At 56.4% G+C, this 18815-nt stretch overlaps 2 protein-coding genes and 1 non-coding gene across 5 annotated transcripts, besides 10 other annotated features; 1 reads left to right on the top strand and 2 right to left on the bottom strand.

The window, feature by feature from the left end:
- Positions 1–446: 446 nt before the first annotated feature.
- Positions 447–7890, top strand: VGF (VGF nerve growth factor inducible). 3 transcript variants are annotated; one of them, XM_011516549.4, is made up of 3 exons: positions 447–495; positions 3175–3252; positions 5536–7890. In XM_011516549.4, exon 3 carries the CDS (start codon positions 5556–5558, stop codon positions 7401–7403), a length of 1848 nt encoding a protein of 615 aa, XP_011514851.1. In that variant the 5' UTR covers positions 447–495; positions 3175–3252; positions 5536–5555; the 3' UTR covers positions 7404–7890. The 3 variants fall into 3 exon arrangements, with proteins under 3 accessions (XP_011514851.1, NP_003369.2, XP_005250618.1); NM_003378.4 differs by lacking the exons at positions 447–495; positions 3175–3252 and adding an exon at positions 4830–5025; XM_005250561.6 differs by lacking the exons at positions 447–495; positions 3175–3252 and adding an exon at positions 4830–5413.
- Positions 1415–1585: a silencer, noted in NCBI's record as "fragment chr7:100812095-100812265 (GRCh37/hg19 assembly coordinates)". NCBI's record gives its function as "represses an EF-1alpha promoter that drives an FKBP-Casp9 reporter gene in an ReSE screen in phorbol 12-myristate 13-acetate-treated (for megakaryocytic differentiation) K562 erythroleukemia cells {active_cell/tissue: K562(+PMA)}" and the evidence as "EXISTENCE:reporter gene assay evidence [ECO:0000049][PMID:32094911]".
- Positions 4800–4899: a silencer, noted in NCBI's record as "silent region_18478". NCBI's record gives its function as "represses an Ori minimal core promoter by ATAC-STARR-seq in GM12878 lymphoblastoid cells {active_cell/tissue: GM12878}" and the evidence as "EXISTENCE:reporter gene assay evidence [ECO:0000049][PMID:35858748]".
- Positions 6662–6801: a silencer, noted in NCBI's record as "silent region_18477". NCBI's record gives its function as "represses an Ori minimal core promoter by ATAC-STARR-seq in GM12878 lymphoblastoid cells {active_cell/tissue: GM12878}" and the evidence as "EXISTENCE:reporter gene assay evidence [ECO:0000049][PMID:35858748]".
- Positions 6962–7011: a silencer, noted in NCBI's record as "silent region_18476". NCBI's record gives its function as "represses an Ori minimal core promoter by ATAC-STARR-seq in GM12878 lymphoblastoid cells {active_cell/tissue: GM12878}" and the evidence as "EXISTENCE:reporter gene assay evidence [ECO:0000049][PMID:35858748]".
- Positions 7572–7661: a silencer, noted in NCBI's record as "silent region_18475". NCBI's record gives its function as "represses an Ori minimal core promoter by ATAC-STARR-seq in GM12878 lymphoblastoid cells {active_cell/tissue: GM12878}" and the evidence as "EXISTENCE:reporter gene assay evidence [ECO:0000049][PMID:35858748]".
- On the bottom strand, positions 9123–15923 carry AP1S1 (adaptor related protein complex 1 subunit sigma 1). The gene is made up of 5 exons (NM_001283.5): positions 15882–15923; positions 13627–13805; positions 12914–13022; positions 11203–11340; positions 9123–9880 (listed from the first exon to the last, which is right to left on the bottom strand). The coding sequence occupies exons 1-5, from the start codon at positions 15882–15884 to the stop codon at positions 9833–9835; spliced, it is 477 nt and encodes a 158-aa protein (NP_001274.1). The 5' UTR covers positions 15885–15923; the 3' UTR covers positions 9123–9832.
- Positions 10844–10926, bottom strand: MIR4653 (microRNA 4653). Its single transcript, NR_039797.1, has one exon. It is a non-coding gene; the product is annotated as a microRNA 4653 (primary transcript).
- Positions 12839–14038: an enhancer, noted in NCBI's record as "BRD4-independent group 4 enhancer chr7:100799642-100800841 (GRCh37/hg19 assembly coordinates)". NCBI's record gives its function as "activates an origin of replication core promoter dependent on BRD2, P300/CBP, MED14 and CDK7 cofactors, and independent of BRD4, by STARR-seq in HCT116 cells {active_cell/tissue: HCT116}" and the evidence as "EXISTENCE:reporter gene assay evidence [ECO:0000049][PMID:35650434]".
- Positions 15017–15517: an enhancer, noted in NCBI's record as "H3K27ac hESC enhancer chr7:100798163-100798663 (GRCh37/hg19 assembly coordinates)". NCBI's record gives its function as "activates a minimal SCP1, AML or CMV promoter by ChIP-STARR-seq in naive H9 embryonic stem cells {active_cell/tissue: H9 hESC(naive)}" and the evidence as "EXISTENCE:reporter gene assay evidence [ECO:0000049][PMID:30033119]".
- Positions 15837–16131: an enhancer, noted in NCBI's record as "tiled region #5920; HepG2 Activating DNase unmatched - State 4:PromP, and K562 Activating DNase unmatched - State 1:Tss". NCBI's record gives its function as "activates a minimal TATA promoter and a strong SV40 promoter by Sharpr-MPRA in HepG2 and K562 cells {active_cell/tissue: HepG2 | K562}" and the evidence as "EXISTENCE:reporter gene assay evidence [ECO:0000049][PMID:27701403]".
- Positions 15837–16181: a biological region, named in NCBI's record as "Sharpr-MPRA regulatory region 5920".
- Positions 15942–16181: a silencer, noted in NCBI's record as "silent region_18474". NCBI's record gives its function as "represses an Ori minimal core promoter by ATAC-STARR-seq in GM12878 lymphoblastoid cells {active_cell/tissue: GM12878}" and the evidence as "EXISTENCE:reporter gene assay evidence [ECO:0000049][PMID:35858748]".

The raw sequence follows: 18815 nt of genomic DNA, 5'->3' as shown, positions 1-18815 counted from the left end.
TGGCAATGGGGCTAATGACTTCCCGGGGAGAGGGGGGAGGTGGAGAGGGGTTCTGAGGAGGGCTGCTGGCTGTGCGCCCCTACCCCACCCCTGCCAAGCGGAGGAAAGAAGCCGCTGCTCAGGACCGAGGTGGGCAGCAGCACGGCCTCCTGACTCGCCCTGGGCCTCGCTTTTCCCTGGACCTGGGAGTCGGCTGCTACCCAAATTCTGTGAGTTCTTCTCCCAAGTCCCACTTGGCATCCAAGACCAGCTTCCATCAGCCAGGATCCAGGCATCTAACCCCCAGTTCCAGACTTGCCCGTGGCCAGCCGGTATCGCTTTCCCCTTTTCTAGGTGGGCAACCCGTGGTGGGTGGAGGAGGTGGAGAGAGCCTGGGCACCGCCCCCGCGAAGCCTGCTCTGGATTGGCGGAGACTGCGATCCCCCAAAGTAACACACGGGGGCGCCAGGACGTGCGCGGACGCGGGCAAGGCAGCACAAGGTGGTTTTCGTCCGTGTGAGTGTGTCCGTGGGCGTCTTTGTGTGTCTGCGTTTCTGTACATGTGTGTACGAGTCAGGGGGTGTCTGGGTGGGATGGATTCGGGACAACGTGCCTGGTGTACCCCAGAATCAGGTACCTCAAGTGGTTTTTTTTCTGTTGCTTTTTGATGAGGACGATGCTTGATATGTTACTATGTGCGTGTGGACGGGGAGGCAGGCGACTTGTGTGTATTGTCGAGTGTGCACAGCGCAGCCTGTGAGTCCCTGCAACCGCGTCTTGGGTCTCTGAAGTCGCATTCCTTGAGGGTTTTGGCGCCCCTCCCTCCACCTGGTAAAAGGAATGAGTGAGAACACTTAGAGCACACCTCCATTGCCCTGCACACATCTCCAGCCTAGGTCTGGGTAACTGCTAGGCTAGGTGTGACATTGTGTTTGTGTAAGTGGGTGTGTCTCCGAATCTCAGTGTGATTCTGTAGGACAGTGTGTTATGTGTGTGACAGGTGGAAGTTGAAGGAGGCTGGTTCAGGATGACAGAAGTGGTTTTCTTTCTCTTGGTGGATACCACCTTGATGGTGTGTGTGTGTCTGTGTGTGTATTTGAGTGTGTGTGTGTGTGTGTGTGTTAGTCTCTCCAGTGGCTCTCTCTTCGTGTCTCTCCCCATCTCTGTCTCTTTCTCTCTCTCTTTCTTGGTGACTCATCTCTGCGGCGTTGCCCTCCCCCGCTTGCTGGGTCTCCCCTCCCCCACTCAGGAGTGGGTGGGGGTCTGAGGGCGAATGGGACCTCAGGACTAAAAATCAGGGTGGGCACCCCCTTCCCATCACTCATCATTCCAGACCCTCCCGTAGCCCCCAGCCCACCCCTCAGTCCCTTCCCCAGGATTCCCCAGCTCTGGGATGGGGAGAGGATAGGGCAAGAGTGTGTTCTAAATGGGGCAATTTTCAGGGGGCCTTCAGCATCTTCTGTAAGTTCAAAGTGGAGACCCCTTCCCCTCTCATAAAGTGCCCCCTCCCTGCCTGCCCCTCCACCATGGCTGACGCAGTTAAAGGCTGCAGAGGTGAGTCACCGGTTGGGGGGAGGGGGAGGAGAAGAGGGGACCGGTGAGCTTCGGGGTCCACAAGCCCCTGCTCTCTCTTTCTCTCCCAGACCTTCTCAGGGAAAAGACCCAGTGCTCTTCCCCACTCTCCTGGTTTTCCACATCTTCAGCTTGGAACCCTACGATGCTGGACCCCATCTTCTCCAGCTACCCTCTTGGAGGGAGATTTAGAAACAAATACAAAGAGAGATGATGGATTCACACAAACAAGTCAGAACCAATACCAGGCATCCCCAACTAGGTCCCCATATGGGCTCTGCCTTTTCCAGCACTCTGTCTCTCCCAGTCTCTTCACTTCTCTTTCTTTTTCTACTGTCTCCCTCCTTTCCCTATCCCAAGAACCTGTGCCCAGTCCAGAAGCCCCTAGAGGCAGCAGGGTATGAAGGGCACAGCTCACCCCCAGTAGAGGCGAGTAGTGTGTGAATGAGCTGACCCAGGTAGGGAACTGGGATGGAGAGAGGCAGAAACAGAATGAGTCCAGAGACCATGCAGACAGAGTCAAGACCCAGATTGTGGAATCTCCAAGCCTTTTGTGCCCCAGGCATTCATATCCACCCCGCTCCCTCACGACAGGACGACTGGAGCCTTGGGGATGCTGATTTCTGAGAAACTCTCCTGGGCTTGTGAGCTTAAGTGGAGGAAGGGAGGGATGTGGAGTGGGGGCATGTGTGTGCTTACACACACATTGTTGTGTACCACCAAGCCAGGCACACTTTTTGGACACCAGCGGATGCCCAGAACTGGGTGTGCTCAAAGACTCCAAACTGCATGGGCATACAGGCATGCAGAAGAGATAAAAAAAAAAAACAAAAAAAAACAACCCAGCACACACACACGCGCGCGTGCACACACACCCACACCTGGAAGCAAACACAAACACAGCCACACAGACTGGAATAGAACATCACATAGTTAAATTGGAAACACTACCATGCCCATCCACTCTTGATCTGATTAAATACACAATTGCTTCCCCCCATTCCCTTTCTTTTTCTCCCCGCCCCGGCCATGTATCTCATTCATCTCCATACACACATAAACACACATGCACAAGCCATGTACATGTACACGCAGGTGTGTGTGCATACACAAGCCAACAGGCAAATACAGTTTCTCCAGGTGCCCGTCTTCTCTCATCTTGCAACTTGGTCTCTGATCCCCATCAGCCACTCAGTCAGCCCCCTTGGCTCCCTCCCTCCCCTCTCCCTTCTCTCTTGGATGGCTTCCCCTCCCCCTCTCCAGATGTCTGAGCCATCTCTCTCTGATTCATCCTCCTCAGGAAGGTAACGTGACCCCCTCCCCATCCCACTGCTCTCTGTATCCAGGCTGGGAAGATGAAGGGGACATGGGGGCGGGGAGAGGAAGGAGGGGAGGCCGTGGTTAGTTGTGCGTGGGGATGGGAGGCATCGCCTCGGGGTCTCCTACCCCCTCTTTTCCCTCCTTTCTTTGGAATCTCCACTGTCACCTTGGTTCTCAGTTTTTTTTTCTCCTTTAGCCTGCTCCTTCTACCTGTTCCAGATCCCTTCATTCCTTCCTCCTCCCCTGCCCCCATCTCTTCTCTCTTTTCTCCCTCTCCACTCCTCCCCATTTCTTTCCCCGCAGAGCTGATGGGCTTTCTTCTGGGAAAGTCGAGCCACTGATGGAAGCGAGAAGCCACTGCTGGTTATAGAGAGAAAGCACGTGAGTGTGTGTGTAGGGAGGGGGAGGTTAGAAGGAGGGTCAGTGCCAGGAAGAGGTGAGGAGGGGGGCGAGGACCGTTTCTGAAAGAGTCTCTAAGACCCTGACAGACAGCCCTGACCTTGGTTTCCAGAGTCTCAGGGTGCGGGTGCCCTGCGTGTGCCCACGAGCACCCCTATGTCCGCAGTTCGTGTGTGTCTGGCGTGTGTCATTGTCATTCCCCCCTTCCCTGCCCACGCCCCCGCACCGCTCTCTGCCAGCACCGCAGCCCCCTCCAGGCTTCCTCCCTCCCTCCCCTTCATTCCTGCAGTGGCTGCCCCCCTTGCCACCCTCTCCTCTCCCCTGCCCCCTCCCCATTTCCGTCCTCCCCCCCACCCCCGCCCACGGCTGGTCTCCCTTCACCGGACCCAGCTCTCTGATGGATTCTCTTTGCGCAAATCTGTGCGTCATCGCCCCCCACCCCCGGAACCTCTAGCTGTCCAAGCCCCCAGCCCCAACCTCTCTGGCAGGAGATACGGTCGAAGGGGCTGGTGGCAGAGAGGGGCTATCTCTGACGTTGCAGGTCCCCCTCCCATCGCGTTCAAACCTTCCCTTTAAGCGGTGGAGAGAGCTGGAGTTGAGTCACCCCCCCCCCACCTGCGCAACCCCCTCCCCACCTGCTCTGGTCTCGCCCTCCAAACGTCCTTGGGGGAGGGGAGCGGCAGGAGGGAAAGCGACTGGGGGAGTGTGGGAAGAGATGGGCCGAAGGGGGCACAGCGGGGGGCCTTGACACAAGCGGCAGTCAGGGGACAGAAGGACAGACACACCTTTTTCTCCAGACACAGCACGGATCGTGAAACAGACACGACCCAGAGGCACACACATCCTCATTCTTTCCCTTTTCTCTTCCGACTCGGACCCTTCCCGATGGGATTACCAAAACCGCAAGATCCACCCATCTGCCCCTGTCAGGGGGCTGCCACCCGCACTGCCGATTCGCGGACAGCGCCCGCAGGCGTGCAGATCTGTCCCTCTGCACTCAGGTTCACGCCGTCCTTGGGCGCGTGGTCTCGGGGTGGGGAACCCGGCCCCCTGGTCGGCTCTTGAATCTTTATCCTTCCCCTCCCCAGTATTGAGCTCCCACTGGTGCCCAGTCAGACGCTGGGACTACCCTTTTTCTATTCCACTCAGCAACGCGGGCTCCATCCAGCAGCTCCAAGTTGCTCTGCAACCCACCCTCCCGCCTTCCAGCGCCTCTGCATCCACCCTTCCATTCATTCTCCCATTCATTCATTCATCCTTTTCTCCTCGTCCCTCCTTCATTCATTCATAGCCCCCCGCCCTGCCCGCTTCAGCATTTCATTCATTCATTCATTCATTCATTTCCCGGAGCTCCGCTAGCGCACACCCCTTCAGCCGAAGGCCCCAGCGCGCAGGCGCAGGCCGGGAGAGGCAGGCACCCTCCAATCGTCGGGCGTCCTTCCTCCTCCGGGCGGCCGCCCGCTTCCCCATGAATGAACATTGACGTCAATGGGGCGGGGCGCGCCCACGTGACCCCGCGCGCTCCCCTTTATAAGGCGGTGGAGGCGCGGGCGCTGTCCAGCGTGCTGAAGCCGGAGCGAGCTAGCCGCCCGGAGCCGCGCCGACCCAGCTGAGCCCAGCCCACGGGACGCCAGACCTCGACCGTCGCTCCTACCCCGGCCACCGCTCGGAGCCGAGGCGGACGCGTCCCGATCTTCCCCTGTCCCCACCCTGCCCCGACCCTCCTCTCCACCTCTCGCGTCGTGACACCAGCTGGTAAATACTCCGCTGTTCGTCCCTCAAACCCTCGGCAGCCAGCCGTGGGCGTGAGGGAGGGTTCTCTCTCCTCTCGATGGGGGTGTTGCAAACACAGCGGGGAGCCCCCTGGTAAGGGTCCCCGGTAAACGGGGGAGTCGCAGCTTTTTCTCTTGCTGCTGAAGTCGCCCACGCACCATCCGGGGAGTCCTACGGGGAGGGAGCAGAGATTTTTTTTTCCCCCATATTGCTGCTGCTTAGTACGTGGGCGATGGCAGTGAGATGGCTCAGGGAAGGGGCCGAGGAGGCCCTGGGTAAGCGAGGGCTTCGGGGGTTATTTTCCCATTTACACGGCTCCAGAGATCGGCACAACATCTTCCTCCTTTGCTCCTAAACGTTCCTCTTCTGGGTAAGGTTTGGGGGATCAGGGAAGCCCCGGGTTTCCTGCTGAAAGGTGGGGGAAGGGAACGTAGACCTAGAGAGGGGAATTCTTACAGAAATCCTCTTTTTTTGGTCCCTTCTATTTTTCAGTCTCCGGCAGCCTCTTGGTCATGAAAGCCCTCAGATTGTCGGCTTCCGCCCTCTTCTGCCTTCTGCTGATCAACGGGTTAGGGGCAGCACCCCCTGGTCGCCCTGAGGCGCAGCCTCCTCCTCTCAGCTCTGAGCATAAAGAGCCGGTAGCCGGGGACGCAGTGCCCGGGCCAAAGGATGGCAGCGCCCCAGAGGTCCGAGGCGCTCGGAATTCCGAGCCGCAGGACGAGGGAGAGCTTTTCCAGGGCGTGGATCCCCGGGCGCTGGCCGCGGTGCTGCTGCAGGCACTCGACCGTCCCGCCTCACCCCCGGCACCAAGCGGCTCCCAGCAGGGGCCGGAGGAAGAAGCAGCTGAAGCTCTGCTGACCGAGACCGTGCGCAGCCAGACCCACAGCCTCCCGGCGCCGGAGAGCCCGGAGCCCGCGGCTCCGCCTCGCCCTCAGACTCCGGAGAATGGGCCCGAGGCGAGCGATCCCTCCGAGGAGCTCGAGGCGCTAGCGTCCCTGCTCCAGGAACTGCGAGATTTCAGTCCAAGTAGCGCCAAGCGCCAGCAGGAGACGGCGGCAGCAGAGACGGAAACCCGCACGCACACGCTGACCCGAGTGAATCTGGAGAGCCCGGGGCCAGAGCGCGTATGGCGCGCTTCCTGGGGAGAGTTCCAGGCGCGTGTCCCGGAGCGCGCGCCCCTGCCGCCCCCGGCCCCCTCTCAATTCCAGGCGCGTATGCCCGACAGCGGGCCCCTTCCCGAAACCCACAAGTTCGGGGAAGGAGTGTCCTCCCCCAAAACACACCTAGGCGAGGCATTGGCACCCCTGTCCAAGGCGTACCAAGGCGTGGCCGCCCCGTTCCCCAAGGCGCGCCGGCCGGAGAGCGCACTCCTGGGCGGCTCCGAGGCGGGCGAGCGCCTTCTCCAGCAAGGGCTGGCGCAGGTGGAGGCCGGGCGGCGGCAGGCGGAGGCCACGCGGCAGGCCGCGGCGCAGGAAGAGCGGCTGGCCGACCTCGCCTCGGACCTGCTGCTCCAGTATTTGCTGCAGGGCGGGGCCCGGCAGCGCGGCCTCGGGGGTCGGGGGCTGCAGGAGGCGGCGGAGGAGCGAGAGAGTGCAAGGGAGGAGGAGGAGGCGGAGCAGGAGAGACGCGGCGGGGAGGAGAGGGTGGGGGAAGAGGATGAGGAGGCGGCCGAGGCGGAGGCAGAGGCGGAGGAGGCGGAGAGGGCGCGGCAGAACGCGCTCCTGTTCGCGGAGGAGGAGGACGGGGAAGCCGGCGCCGAGGACAAGCGCTCCCAGGAGGAGACGCCGGGCCACCGGCGGAAGGAGGCCGAGGGGACAGAGGAGGGCGGGGAGGAGGAGGACGACGAGGAGATGGATCCGCAGACGATCGACAGCCTCATTGAGCTGTCCACCAAACTCCACCTGCCAGCGGACGACGTGGTCAGCATCATCGAGGAGGTGGAGGAGAAGCGGAAGCGGAAGAAGAACGCCCCTCCCGAGCCCGTGCCGCCCCCCCGTGCCGCCCCCGCCCCCACCCACGTCCGCTCCCCGCAGCCCCCGCCCCCCGCCCCCGCTCCCGCACGAGACGAGCTGCCGGACTGGAACGAGGTGCTCCCGCCCTGGGATCGGGAGGAGGACGAGGTGTACCCGCCAGGGCCGTACCACCCTTTCCCCAACTACATCCGGCCGCGGACACTGCAGCCGCCCTCGGCCTTGCGCCGCCGCCACTACCACCACGCCTTGCCGCCTTCGCGCCACTATCCCGGCCGGGAGGCCCAGGCGCGGCGCGCGCAGGAGGAGGCGGAGGCGGAGGAGCGCCGGCTGCAGGAGCAGGAGGAGCTGGAGAATTACATCGAGCACGTGCTGCTCCGGCGCCCGTGACTGCCCTTCCCGGTCCCGCCCCCGCGCGCCCCCGCCGCGCGCGCGCGCCGGCGCCCCCCTCCGTGTTGCCCGCTCCCCCTCGGTGTTTGCATGCGCCCCGGCCCTGCCCCTTGGCCCTGCCCCTGTCCCCGGGCTGCGTCGGGACCTGCCAGACCCCCCTCCCGGGTCCTGAGCCCGAACTCCCAGAGCTCACCCGCGGGTGACCGGGGGCCAGCCCAGGAGGGCGGGTGGTTTGTGCGAGTTCCCTTGCCACGCGGGGCCCCGGCCCCATCAAGTCCCTCTGGGGACGTCCCCGTCGGAAACCGGAAAAAGCAGTTCCAGTTAATTGTGTGAAGTGTGTCTGTCTCCAGCCCTTCGGGCCTCCCACGAGCCCCTCCAGCCTCTCCAAGTCGCTGTGAATTGACCCCTTCTTTCCTTTCTCTGTTGTAAATACCCCTCACGGAGGAAATAGTTTTGCTAAGAAATAAAAGTGACTATTTTATTAGGACTTTGTTCTCGGTTATTCACCCGTCCCCTTGGGCCTGTGTGGTCCTTCCCAAGGGGCGGTGAGGGAAGCGCCAGCCACAGTCCCCGTCTCCTCCTGCTTCCTGCCCCCAAACTAAGGCAAGGGGTAAGTGGGGAAAGTCCTCAAACTGTTTTTAGAGGAGAAGAATGTGGCTCGCACCCATTAAGAAACCCGAAATTCCACTTCCAGCTTGGGGGCTGGTGGTAAAGTCATCTTTCCCCAGGGCTTGACAGAGAGAGGCCCAGCGGAATGCAATAAAAGAGCCAATTGTCTGCGATCAGTCCAGCGACCTCTGGTTCAAAAGAAAAAGGCGACCCGCAGAAGGTGCCACAACTCTGGGTGCCAGTGGGCTCCTTTTTCCCAAGATCCTGGGGCCGCGCGGGTAATGCCGGAGTTTCCTGTGTTCACCCACCCACCTCCCTCCACTGATCCCTACATTCCTGGTCCTAGGTACTTTGCAAGAAATGCGGGGAGGAGGGAGTGGCAGCCACAGAGACATGCTGGCTAAAGCCACTTCTTAACTTTTTTTTTTTTTTTTTTTTTGAGACAGGGTCTCACTATGTTGCCCAGGCTGGAGTGCAGTGGTGCAATCACAGCTCACTGCAACCTCGACTTCCTGGGCTCAAGTGATCCTCCTACCCCAACCTCCTGAGTAGCTGGGACTACAAGTGTGCACCATTATGCCCAGCTAATGTTTGCATTTTTTGTAGGGATGAGGTTTTGCCAGCTTGCTCAGCTGGTCTGGAACTCCTGGGCTCAAGCGACCTCCCCACCTTGGCCTCCCATCTTAAGCCTTTTCTAATCGCAGGTACTTGTGAACTGATTCAAATAAAACTAAACTGGGCAAACGAAATCACCCACAACAGACCCGCATCCTGAAGAGTTGCTCCTCCTTCCATAAAGGCAGCTCAGGGAGTTGGGGGCAGCCCGTTTGGAGACGCATTGGGCATAAAAATCCGTTTAAGGTAGGGTGGCCAGATAAAATACAGGAAATGAAATCTGAAATTCCAGATACACAACAGATGCAGTTTTAGAGTTAAATGTGTCCCAAACACTGCATGCAACACATTTATCCCTAAAATGATTTGTTGTGTATCTGGAATTCTCATTTAACTGCGTGCTCTCCGTTTCTTCCCAAGGCTGGCAGGATCCCCTTGGCCTCCCGATGATGCCAGCAGCCCTGCCTTCCTTCACAGAGCCCAAGGCCAGCAAAGTCCAGAAATGCTTTTACTTTTATTTCAGAAGAAAGGACATAAAGGCAGACACTTCCCCCTCCCCCTCCCCACCCCTCCCAGCTCCTGCCTCACCCAGAACTGGAGTGAAAGGCCAGGGCCAGGACCAGGGTCCCATAAAGCTTGCCCTTCCCCCAACCCTTCCTTCCCTCAAAGTGGCAAGGTTAGAAAAAAATTAACTATGTTGTTCCTCCCTGGCACTGGATAAAGGCCCCACTGCAGCCAAGGAGAAAGAGGGGGGTCCAGGCTCCCCTCCCAGGCAGAGAAGCTGCCTGGCTGGCTAGGGGGAGGGTGGAGGTAGGTTATGGGACAGAGAGGACAAGAAGTGCCCTGAACACCTTTTCCCTTTAACCTGACATATTTATATATTTACAGTTATTAGGGAGGGAAGGACATCTGGGGTGACATCAGTTCTGCAAAGGCAGGGAATAAAAGCCAAATAGCACCCCCATCTGGGTCACATTTTCCTGCCTCCTAGCTTCTAAAACCTTCAGTGGGAAAAGGGGAAAGTGGAGGTAGGGGGTGGAGGGAGGGAATGTTTGAAGGGCCTGAGCCCACAGCTCACTCCGAAAGGTGAGGCAGCAGAGGAGGGGCAGCCGAGTCCCACCAAGAACAGGGCCCTGGGCAGAGGAGAAGCAGCCGTTCCCGCCACGCTGCCAGGACCCCATCGCCACACCCCGGCCCAGCAGGGGCTATGCCAAACCCATCTCCTCCAGCACACTCCGTGGCGACTCATCCTCCTAAGGCAGAGACAGACAGAGGGTGACGCAGAGACACCAGGAGAGGCCGACAGGGTGGGCAAGACAGCAGTCACGAGGAAGAGTCAGACGGGGGAGGCACAGACACGGGGGAGGGGGAGAGAAGCCAATGTGAGCCCAAGGCCGGACCAGTGAGCCCTTCATGGGGCACCCACCAGCCTCCCAGGGCCAGCCCCAGAGCCAGCCAACAGTGGCAGGGGGGGTCCAGGTTGAGTCCGTCACCACCCAGAGAACCCAAAGCCAGGACCTTGGTAAGCAGGGGCCCCGCCTTGACACCTGGGGGTAAAGGGAGTGAAGCCGGGACAAGGAGGTGGGGGATCTTTCTGGGGCCCTGGGGGGTACAGCTGACTGGGTCCTGTTTTTCAGAGTGGGGAAAAGGCAGAGGGAGGTGAGTGCCAGGTCCCTGAGGGAAGGTGAACCAGGCTGCAGGGAGATGCGTCATTAGGGTCTGAGCGCAACACTGGTGACACGATGGGTGTGTGTGCCAGGGCATGTGTGTGTGTGTGTGTGTGTGCGCGCCAGGGTGTGTGTGTGTGCGTGTGTGGGAAGGTGAAGCTCGACCAGTGAGGTGGCAAGTTCAGTTCTGCCCTCTCTCCCACTGCAAAGATGAGCCCTCCCTCGCCCCCCATCTCTCCCCCTCCTCAGAGCCAGCTCAGGCCGGGCTCGCTCATCACTGCAGATTCCGGTGACTCATCTCCCTGCACCAGGGCTCGGTGATGGCACAGCAGAGAGGGGGCAGGCAGTAATGGGGTGAGGGCGGGGGCGCTGGGGAGCAGGGAGAACCAACATCCAGGTGCCCTCTGCCAGCCCCCAAATCCCCATAGCCTTTTCCTCCTGAGACGCAGAGGCTTTGGAGTATGTGTGTGTTAAAAAAAAAAAAAAGAAAAAAAAAAGAGAGGTGGGGGAAGAAATCAGGGAAGAAAAGAATGACCTACCAGGTGCCCCTTCTCCAATTCTCCAAGCAACCCTTAACTCCAGAGCAAACCCTTAACCCTTTGGTGTTAAGCCTTGCTCAGAGAATTGGACAAAGGAGACTGGGTGGCCACGAGACATCTGGGGGCTTGGGAGAAGGACAGAGCTTGGAATGAGGGGTGCACAGGTGGGCTATCTGCCACCCTACCTCCCACCCCATGGGGTCAGGGCTTGAGAGTAAGCTGGAGAGCTGGGCGTGGTGGGGGTCAGATACCACAGGGAGGGGGGGCTCCTTGGCGACGGTGGGCAGGGCAGGCCGGGTGTCCAGGGGAGGGAGGACCCTGTCCGCCACTGTGCGCTTCCTCCTCCTCCTCACTGTCCCTGGCCCGTACCTCTTGCAGTAGGTCAGCCTGCTCGATGGCTTTCAGCACACTCTTCTTGGAGGTGTCCTGGACATCCCCCCCCATCAAAAACTCATCCAGGATGAAGTAGGCCTTCTCAAAGTTGAAGATGATGTCCAGCTCGCACACCTGGGAGGGCGGGGAGAGGCTAAGTTGAGCATGGAGGGGCAACTGGAGCCACTTCCTTTTCAAGACCGTGCCTCCCACCTTGGGTTCTGCCCCCAACCTCCAAGCCTTAGTCATTGGTCAGCTTTTTCAGTTTTTTTGTTTCGTTATTTTGTTAGAGACAGGGTCTCTTGCTCTGTCGTCCAGGCTGCAGTGCAGTGGCATGATCACAGCTCACTGCAGCCTCAAACTCCTGGGCTCAAGTGATCCTCCTGCCTCAGCTTCCTGAGTAGCTGGGACTACAGGTGCATGCTATCACGCCCACCTCATTTTTAAAATATTTTGTAGAGATAGGGTCTTGCCATGTTGGCCAGGCTGGTCTCGAACTTCTGGCCTCAAGTGACCCACCTGCCTCAGCTTCCCAAAATGCTGGGATCACAGGCGTGAGCCACCGCGCCTTGCCTTGGATCAGTTTTTTTCCCTCTTCCTCTTGCATCTTTCCTCCTGATCATGAAACATTAGTTGCCTTATCTACCTTTGTCTATGGTTCCCCTTGCCTTCCCCCCAAAATCTGTGACGTTCTTCCCACCAAAGGCTGTGGTAGCCCCGCTTCCTGGACACTGTGGGGCAGGGAAAGAGGGAATTCTGGACCATGGGGTGGAAGACTTGAGTTCCAAGCAGGGCTCTGCCACTAACCATCTAGCTAAACAAGTCATGAAACATCTCTAAGTCTCAGTTTTCTGGCCTCAAAAATGGGGATACCAACACCTACTGCTAGGATGGGATAAGGAGCAAACGAGAGGACGCAAAAGCACTTTATAACACAAATTATGGAGTTACTACTACGCCCCATCTAAGATCTGAGCTGTCCCTCAGATAAGTTAATTCAGAATCTCTGGGAGTGGAACCTGGACATTGCCATTCAAAAAAATTCTCCAGAAAACTCCAATGCAAATCCAAGATCAGCAACCAGTGATAAAAATCTGAATATGGGGCTGGGTACAGTGGCTCACGCCTATAATCCCAGACTTTGGGAGGCTGAGGTGGGAGGATCACTTGAGCCCCAGAGTTAGAGACCCAGCCTGGGCAACATAGCAAGACCTCATCTCTTAAAAAAAAAAATACAAAAATTAGCTGGGCATAGTGGTGTGCACCTGCAGTCCCACCTCCTCAGGGGACTGAGGCAGGAGGATGGCTTGAGCCCAGAGGTTAAGGCTGCAGTGAGCTACGATTGTGCCACTGCACTCCAGCCATAGGCGGCATTCCTCCAGGTGATAGGGTGAGACTGTGTCTCTAAAAAAATAAAAATTTGAACTAATCAAAACATCTGAACTTGGTCTCTGTGTGAAAAGTCCGAGCTAAGCTCTAAGTGGAGATTAAGTGCCTGATCCTGCCCCCAGTTTCCCCACTCAGGGACGATTATGGGACATGGTTAATAGGCTTAAAGCTTAAAAAGGGAAATTAATTACTGTTCTTACTGCTCCAACTTCACCTCTCCCCTGAAACTTCCAGGGCAGAGACTGGAGGGGCCTCAAAGTTTGGTGGATTACCAAAGGGGATTGCTGGGAATGGAAACTGGTGGGCAGAGGAGACTTACACTGCCAAAGTATTTGTCTAAGAGCTCCACGTATCGGTGGATCAGCTCCAGTGTGATGAGCTCATTGTCTTGGCCCTCGATGGCGCAGCAGAAGTAGAGGCTGGCATATCTGCGGAGAGGAGCGCATGAGACATCGCTACAAGCTTGCTTCAGGACCCAGGCATTCTGGTCTCAAACCTCTCACCAGCCTGGAGGTGGTCTGTGCCCTGGCTGGCCACAGGTGAGGTGGCCCTAGGGCATGTAAAGAGTAACTCACCTGCCTCTTTGTGCTGTCTTAAAAACATGCAAAGAACGCATGCTTTTTCCTTCCTGCCCTCTGACCTCCTAAGTTTGACTCAGCAAAAACCTGAGCCAAGTAATTTACCTGCTCCGAGGAGAAGGAACCGGAAAGGGTGTGTGTGTGCGTGTGTGTTAGGAAAAGTAGGGCAGGACCTTTGACTGCAAGGGACATGCGCAGTGGGGCAAGACAGGGCCCAAAGGGACACGTGAGTGAGGCAGGTGTTGCACGTGAGCAAAACCAAGTGGTAAACAAGAACTTCTTTAAGAGTTTGGGGAGAAAAAAAAAAAAAAAAAAGGAAGCTGACATTCATTACTGTCCTCCAGATGTCCTCAGCTCCCAGGTCTCCCTGACCTACAGGACGACCATTTCTCAGACATTTTAACCCACTGCCCAACTTGAATCTAGGCAGGTCTGAAAGTAGGTGGGGAGTCACCTCTTATAGACAACTTTGAGGTCCCTCCACTCCAGGAAGCTGCACATCTTGGGCTTTCGAGCCAGGACAACCTGCATGAGCTCGCGCACCATCTTCTTCCGTTCCTTGTCCGAAGTGGCCAGGTACCATTTTTGCAGCCGCAGTTTTCCCTGCCGGCTGAATAATAGCATGAACCGCATCTGTGGGGGATGGGAGGGCAGAACCGAGGGTAACCACACATTCCCCAAACTTATCTCCAGCTAATTCTTCTCTACTTTCTTCCAACATCCAGCCCCTTGCTCTCAAGGCTGGGTGTTTCCACCAGCAGGGGGAAGTCAGAGCTTCTGAGTCTGTCAGCTGGGTTCAAATCCTGGCTCTACTAGTTATGCAAGGCCTTGGCCCAATTACTACTGTAAGTCTCTGGGCCTCAGTTTCCTTATGTGTAAAATGGACATTGTACCTGCCTTGCACAGTTGTTAGGTGAGACTAAATGATTTGATATATGCAAGTCCCTAGCACAGGCAGGCAGTATAACATGTTAGCTATTATTATTATTATTTTTGAGACAGAGTCTCTCTCTGTCGCCCAGGCTGGAGTGCAGTGGCGCAATCACTGTTCAGTGCAATCTCCGCCTCCCAAGTTCCAGCGATTCTCCTGCCTCAGCCTCCTGAGTAGCTGGGATTACAGTCACGTGCCATCACGCCCGGCTAATATTTGTATTTTTAGTAGAGATGTGGTTTCACCATGTTGGCCAGGCCCTGGTCTCGAACTCCCGACCTCAGGTGATCCACCCACCTAGGCCTCCCAAAGTGCTGGCATTAAGGCATGAGCCACTGCGCCCGGCCGTTAGTTATTACTATTATTACCATGATTCCCTGACCTCTTGCTTTCTGGTCTGCTTTCTAAAGGTAAGTAAAATGCCTAGCACAGTGACAAGACGACAGTAACCGACGCCAAAGAAATGCCTGTTCTCTTCCACCCTCTCTCTATCCATCACCATGCTGAAATCTGGTATTTTGTCCCTGGAGAAGCTACCTCAATTTTCCACCCCATCATAGCCATAAGATCTTAATGATCTCCCAAACATATCATCCTCCAGTGCCAGGCCTATGCCCAGGGGTATCCTCCTCTGTAGTATGTATCTCCAACACCACACAGGGTATGCAGATGCCCAAATCCTATCTTCCTCTCTGCAGGCACCCAGGCATTTGGTCTTCGACATTTCTCTTTAACTTTTCTTCCTTTTAGGGTGCCTCCTGCTAAGCGCCCACTCCTCCCCAGACACCAGGTGACCAATTTCCCTCAGTTAGGGCCCCGCCACCCAGGGGGTTCCCCTAAAAGAATGTCTGCAGAACAGACAGCAAGCTGGGTCAAGTGGGATGGAAGACAGAACCCTCACTGCCCAGTGTACCCCAGCTTCCCAGTTCCGGGGGGTCTGGGCCACATCCTGGAGTCTTCTCCTTACCCCAGTAGCTCTTCTATTCATGGACATGCCCAGGCTTGGAATCCCTGGGTGTGTGGCACTGTACTAGCTTAGTAAGTGAAAAATCAGAATTCAGGAGAACTGATTTTTTTGGTGGAGGGGAAAAGAGGGGCGCTGGGGAGCCTCGTGCGGCGCTCAAATAGGGGGGTGGGGAGCAAGCAGGAAGACGGAAGGCCTGGATTCCGGAAAGAGAATGGGAAGGGGGGCAGAGAGCCCCGGAGCCCGGGATCCCAAAGCCTGGGTCCCTCGGAGAAAAACCACGAGTCCACTTCGCTTCCCTACCTGGGCCCAGCCTCTAGGCAAGCACGGCCACGAACGCAGTAGGGCGCTCCCTTTTCCGACCCGGAAACTCCCCTCCCACACCCCTCTCCCCACCCGGGTCCCCGCTCCCGCCTGTGCAGCCCGGGAAGGGGGTCTCGGTGACTGGTGACCCCCGCTCCCTCCCTCAGCAAAGAGACTCCCGCAACCCTCTGCTTCGGGCGGCTTCCCTGCAGCGGGGATCGAGGGACCCCAGGGGCCAAGACCAGAGCGCCCCTCCCGGCTCGGGACGGCCCCGCCGCCCCTTCGTCAGCCCCCGCTCGCCCTGCAAATGCGCCCCCTCCCCGCCCCTCTCCCGAATGCCACCTCCCCCTCTTCCTCCCGAGCCCGGCTCGCCCACCCGCCGAGGCAAGGGAGGCCTCTGAGGACCAGAGGGAAGACAGGGCGGTTCACCCCGAGGGCGGCCCCCGAGGACCCCCGCAGGTGCAGCCCACGCCCCTCGCTTCCCCCTCCCCTCCCTCTTCGCACAGCCTACCATCCTGCAGCCTCCGGCTCGGCGCGTCCCACTTCGGCCACCGTAGGCGCCAGTCCCACTCCCTTTCTTATCCTTTCTCCTGCTGCCCTCCCTCTCGCCCGAAGCCCCGCCCCGTCCCGCCCAGGCTCTGACTCCCGGCGCGCCACGCACTGCGCAGGCGCCGACGCCGCGGGGAGCGCGGGCGGGGCTGGAGGCGGAGAAGCGGAAACCATGGCAACCAGGTCCTTGACTGCAGCTTCTAGGAGCCCGGTCGTCATGGTAACGCGGCTGTCCTGTGGGCTGGTTGGAGGATGGGGGAGGAGGACAATAAGGTCCTCGCGCTTTGGAGCCTTGTGGGGCAAAAAGGCGGGAAAAGGGGTGAGAGGTGAATGGGACGATCATTGGAGTTCGAAGCAGCAGGCAGGACTCCTGGAAGGGGAGTGGGCCGTGAAAAGGGAGCAGGGTGGGAATTAAGTGTAGGGGAGGAGGAGTGACCTGGAAAACAGAAAGACAAAGGGTCATGAGAAAAGTATAGAACCCAAGCTGAATATCTATTGAAAGCGTGATAGATACACCCCTCTAGTTTTTTTCTTTTTAGAGACAGGGTCTGGCCGCGTCACCCAGGTTGGAGTGCAGTGGTGGGATCGTGACTCTCTGCAGCCTTGAACTCCTGGCCTCAAGCGATCCTCCCGCCTCAGCCTCCTGAGTAGCTGGGACTACAGACGCACACCGTCATGCCCAGCTAATTTTTAATTTTTTTTTAGTAGAGACGGGGGTCTTACTATGTTGCCCAGGCTGGTCTCGAACTCTTGGGTTCAAGAGACCCTCCCGCCTCGGTTTCCCAAACTGCTGGGATTACAGGCGTGAGCCACCGCGCCTGGCTTCTGATTTTACAGTAAGAGAAATGTGTAGAAAAAGAATAAAAGAGAAAAGGAGAGGCTGCTATAAAAGGCATGTAAGGAGAAGGGGGAGGAACGTGAACTGAGGCAAAAGGGGAAGAAATAAAGAGCGTCTTAAAAGGTTAACTTGGGTCAAAACTCAAAAAGGGACAGATGTCACCCAAATCTCAGTGTGAAGATGAGGTGGATGTACGTTGTAATATGGGCTTTTAAACTGAATGTGTGTGTGTGTCTACATGTTACTGGAAAAAGGGGTCCCGATCCAGACCCCAAGAGAGAATTCTTGGATCTCATGCAGGAAGGAACCCAAAGCAAGTCGTAGAGTGCGATGAGAAGAGAGAGTTTATTGAAAGCTACACCCTTACGGAGTAGGGCGTCCTCAGAAAGCAAACAGAGGAACACACTGTCTTAAGTTTTTCTTTTCTTTCTTTCTTTTTTTTTTTCTTCTTTTTTTGAGACAGGGTCTTACTCTGTTGCCCAGGCTGGAGTGTAGTAGCATGATCATAGTTCACTGCAGCCTCCACCTCCTGAGCTCAAGCGATCCTCCCACTTCAGTCTCCCAAGTAGCTAGGACTACAGGCATGCACCACCACAGCCAGCTAATAGTTGTATGTTTTGTAGACACAGGGTATTGTCATGCTACCCAAGCTGGTCTGGGACTCCTGGACTCAAGGTATCCACACTCCTCAGCCTCCCAAAGTGTTGGGATTACAGGTATGAGCCACCGCCCCTGACCTTTAAGTTTTTCTTATATAGGGGTCTTGTTTTTGTAGAGACTAAACTAAGCCGAGTCAATGTGCAGATGGGCCAATGGCATGACAAAATTTATTATTCTGTTAATTTAACTATCCTTGACATTCTAGTAGGTAAGTACATCAAAGCAAAACTTAATTATCTTTCTTCCTTTTTTTTTTTTCTTGAGACAGAGTCTTGATCTGTTGCCCAGGCTGTAGTGCAGTGGCGTGATCTCAGCTCACTGCAACCTCCACCTCCTGGGTTCAAGCCATTCTTGTGTCTCAGCATCCCTAATAGCTGGATTACAGCTACATCCTTTCACCTCAGCCTCCCAAGTAGCTGTGACTGCAGGCATGAACCAGTGCATCCAATTAATTAAAAAAATATTTTGTTGTAGAGATGGGGTCTCACTACTGGGATTGTAGGCATGTGCTACGACACCCAGCTAATTTTTGTATCTTTAGTAGAGAGGGGGTTTTGCAATGTTGGCCAGGCTGATCTCGAACTCCTGGCCTAAAGCAATCCTGCCTTAGCCTCCACACCCAGCCAGAACTATAATTATCTTAAAGGCACATATTGTTATGGGTATTGGGGCATCTGGATTTTCTGTAGTTGGAGGAGTCTGTCCTTGCAGGTATCTTTAAGCTGTTTCCCCAACTGTAAACAGCTTTGGGTTGTGACTGACAAGGAATGTGCCTTGTTAGTTTCAAGATGGAGCTGAACTTAAAATGGCTTTATGCTGGCTCTCTGAGGCTCCTGCTTCCCTAGCACAAATGATAAAGTAAAGAGGTCTGGATAGAAGGATAAGAGAAAATCTTAAATTTTGTCATGCAGAAAAGTTAATGGTAGATAATTGTTGGCAACTAATGTGCTATTATTTTTGAGTAGCACATGATGCAATTGTTGGTAAGGCCTCACCTCCTGTCTCCACTTTATTTATTTATTTTGTGTATTTATTTTTTTGAGATGGAGTCTTGCTCTGTTGCCCAGGCTGGAGTGCAGTGGCACAATCTCGGCTCACTGCAACCTCCACCTCCCGGGTTCAAGTGATTCTCCTGATTCAGCCTCCTGACTCAGCCTTCTGTCTCAAAAAAAAAAAAAAAAAAAGAGGACAGTAGTACATATCTTGCAAGGTGGTTCTGAGGATTAGAGGTAATGTATAGCAAGTATCTGTAAACACTTCATAATGGTACCTATCATTTCCTCTTCCCAGACTCTTCCTTTTTTTTTTTTTTTTTTGTTGTTGTTGTTGTTGTTGAGACGGAGTCTCGTTCTTGTTGCCCACGCTGGAGTGCAGTGGCACGATCTCGGCTCACTGCAG

This window comes from Homo sapiens, chromosome 7 (genome assembly GCF_000001405.40).
Source record: "Homo sapiens chromosome 7, GRCh38.p14 Primary Assembly".
Taxonomy (NCBI): Eukaryota; Metazoa; Chordata; class Mammalia; order Primates; family Hominidae; genus Homo; species Homo sapiens.
The sequence above is the reverse complement of the archived record's forward strand: the minus strand, read 5'-3'. Positions and strand labels throughout refer to the sequence as shown.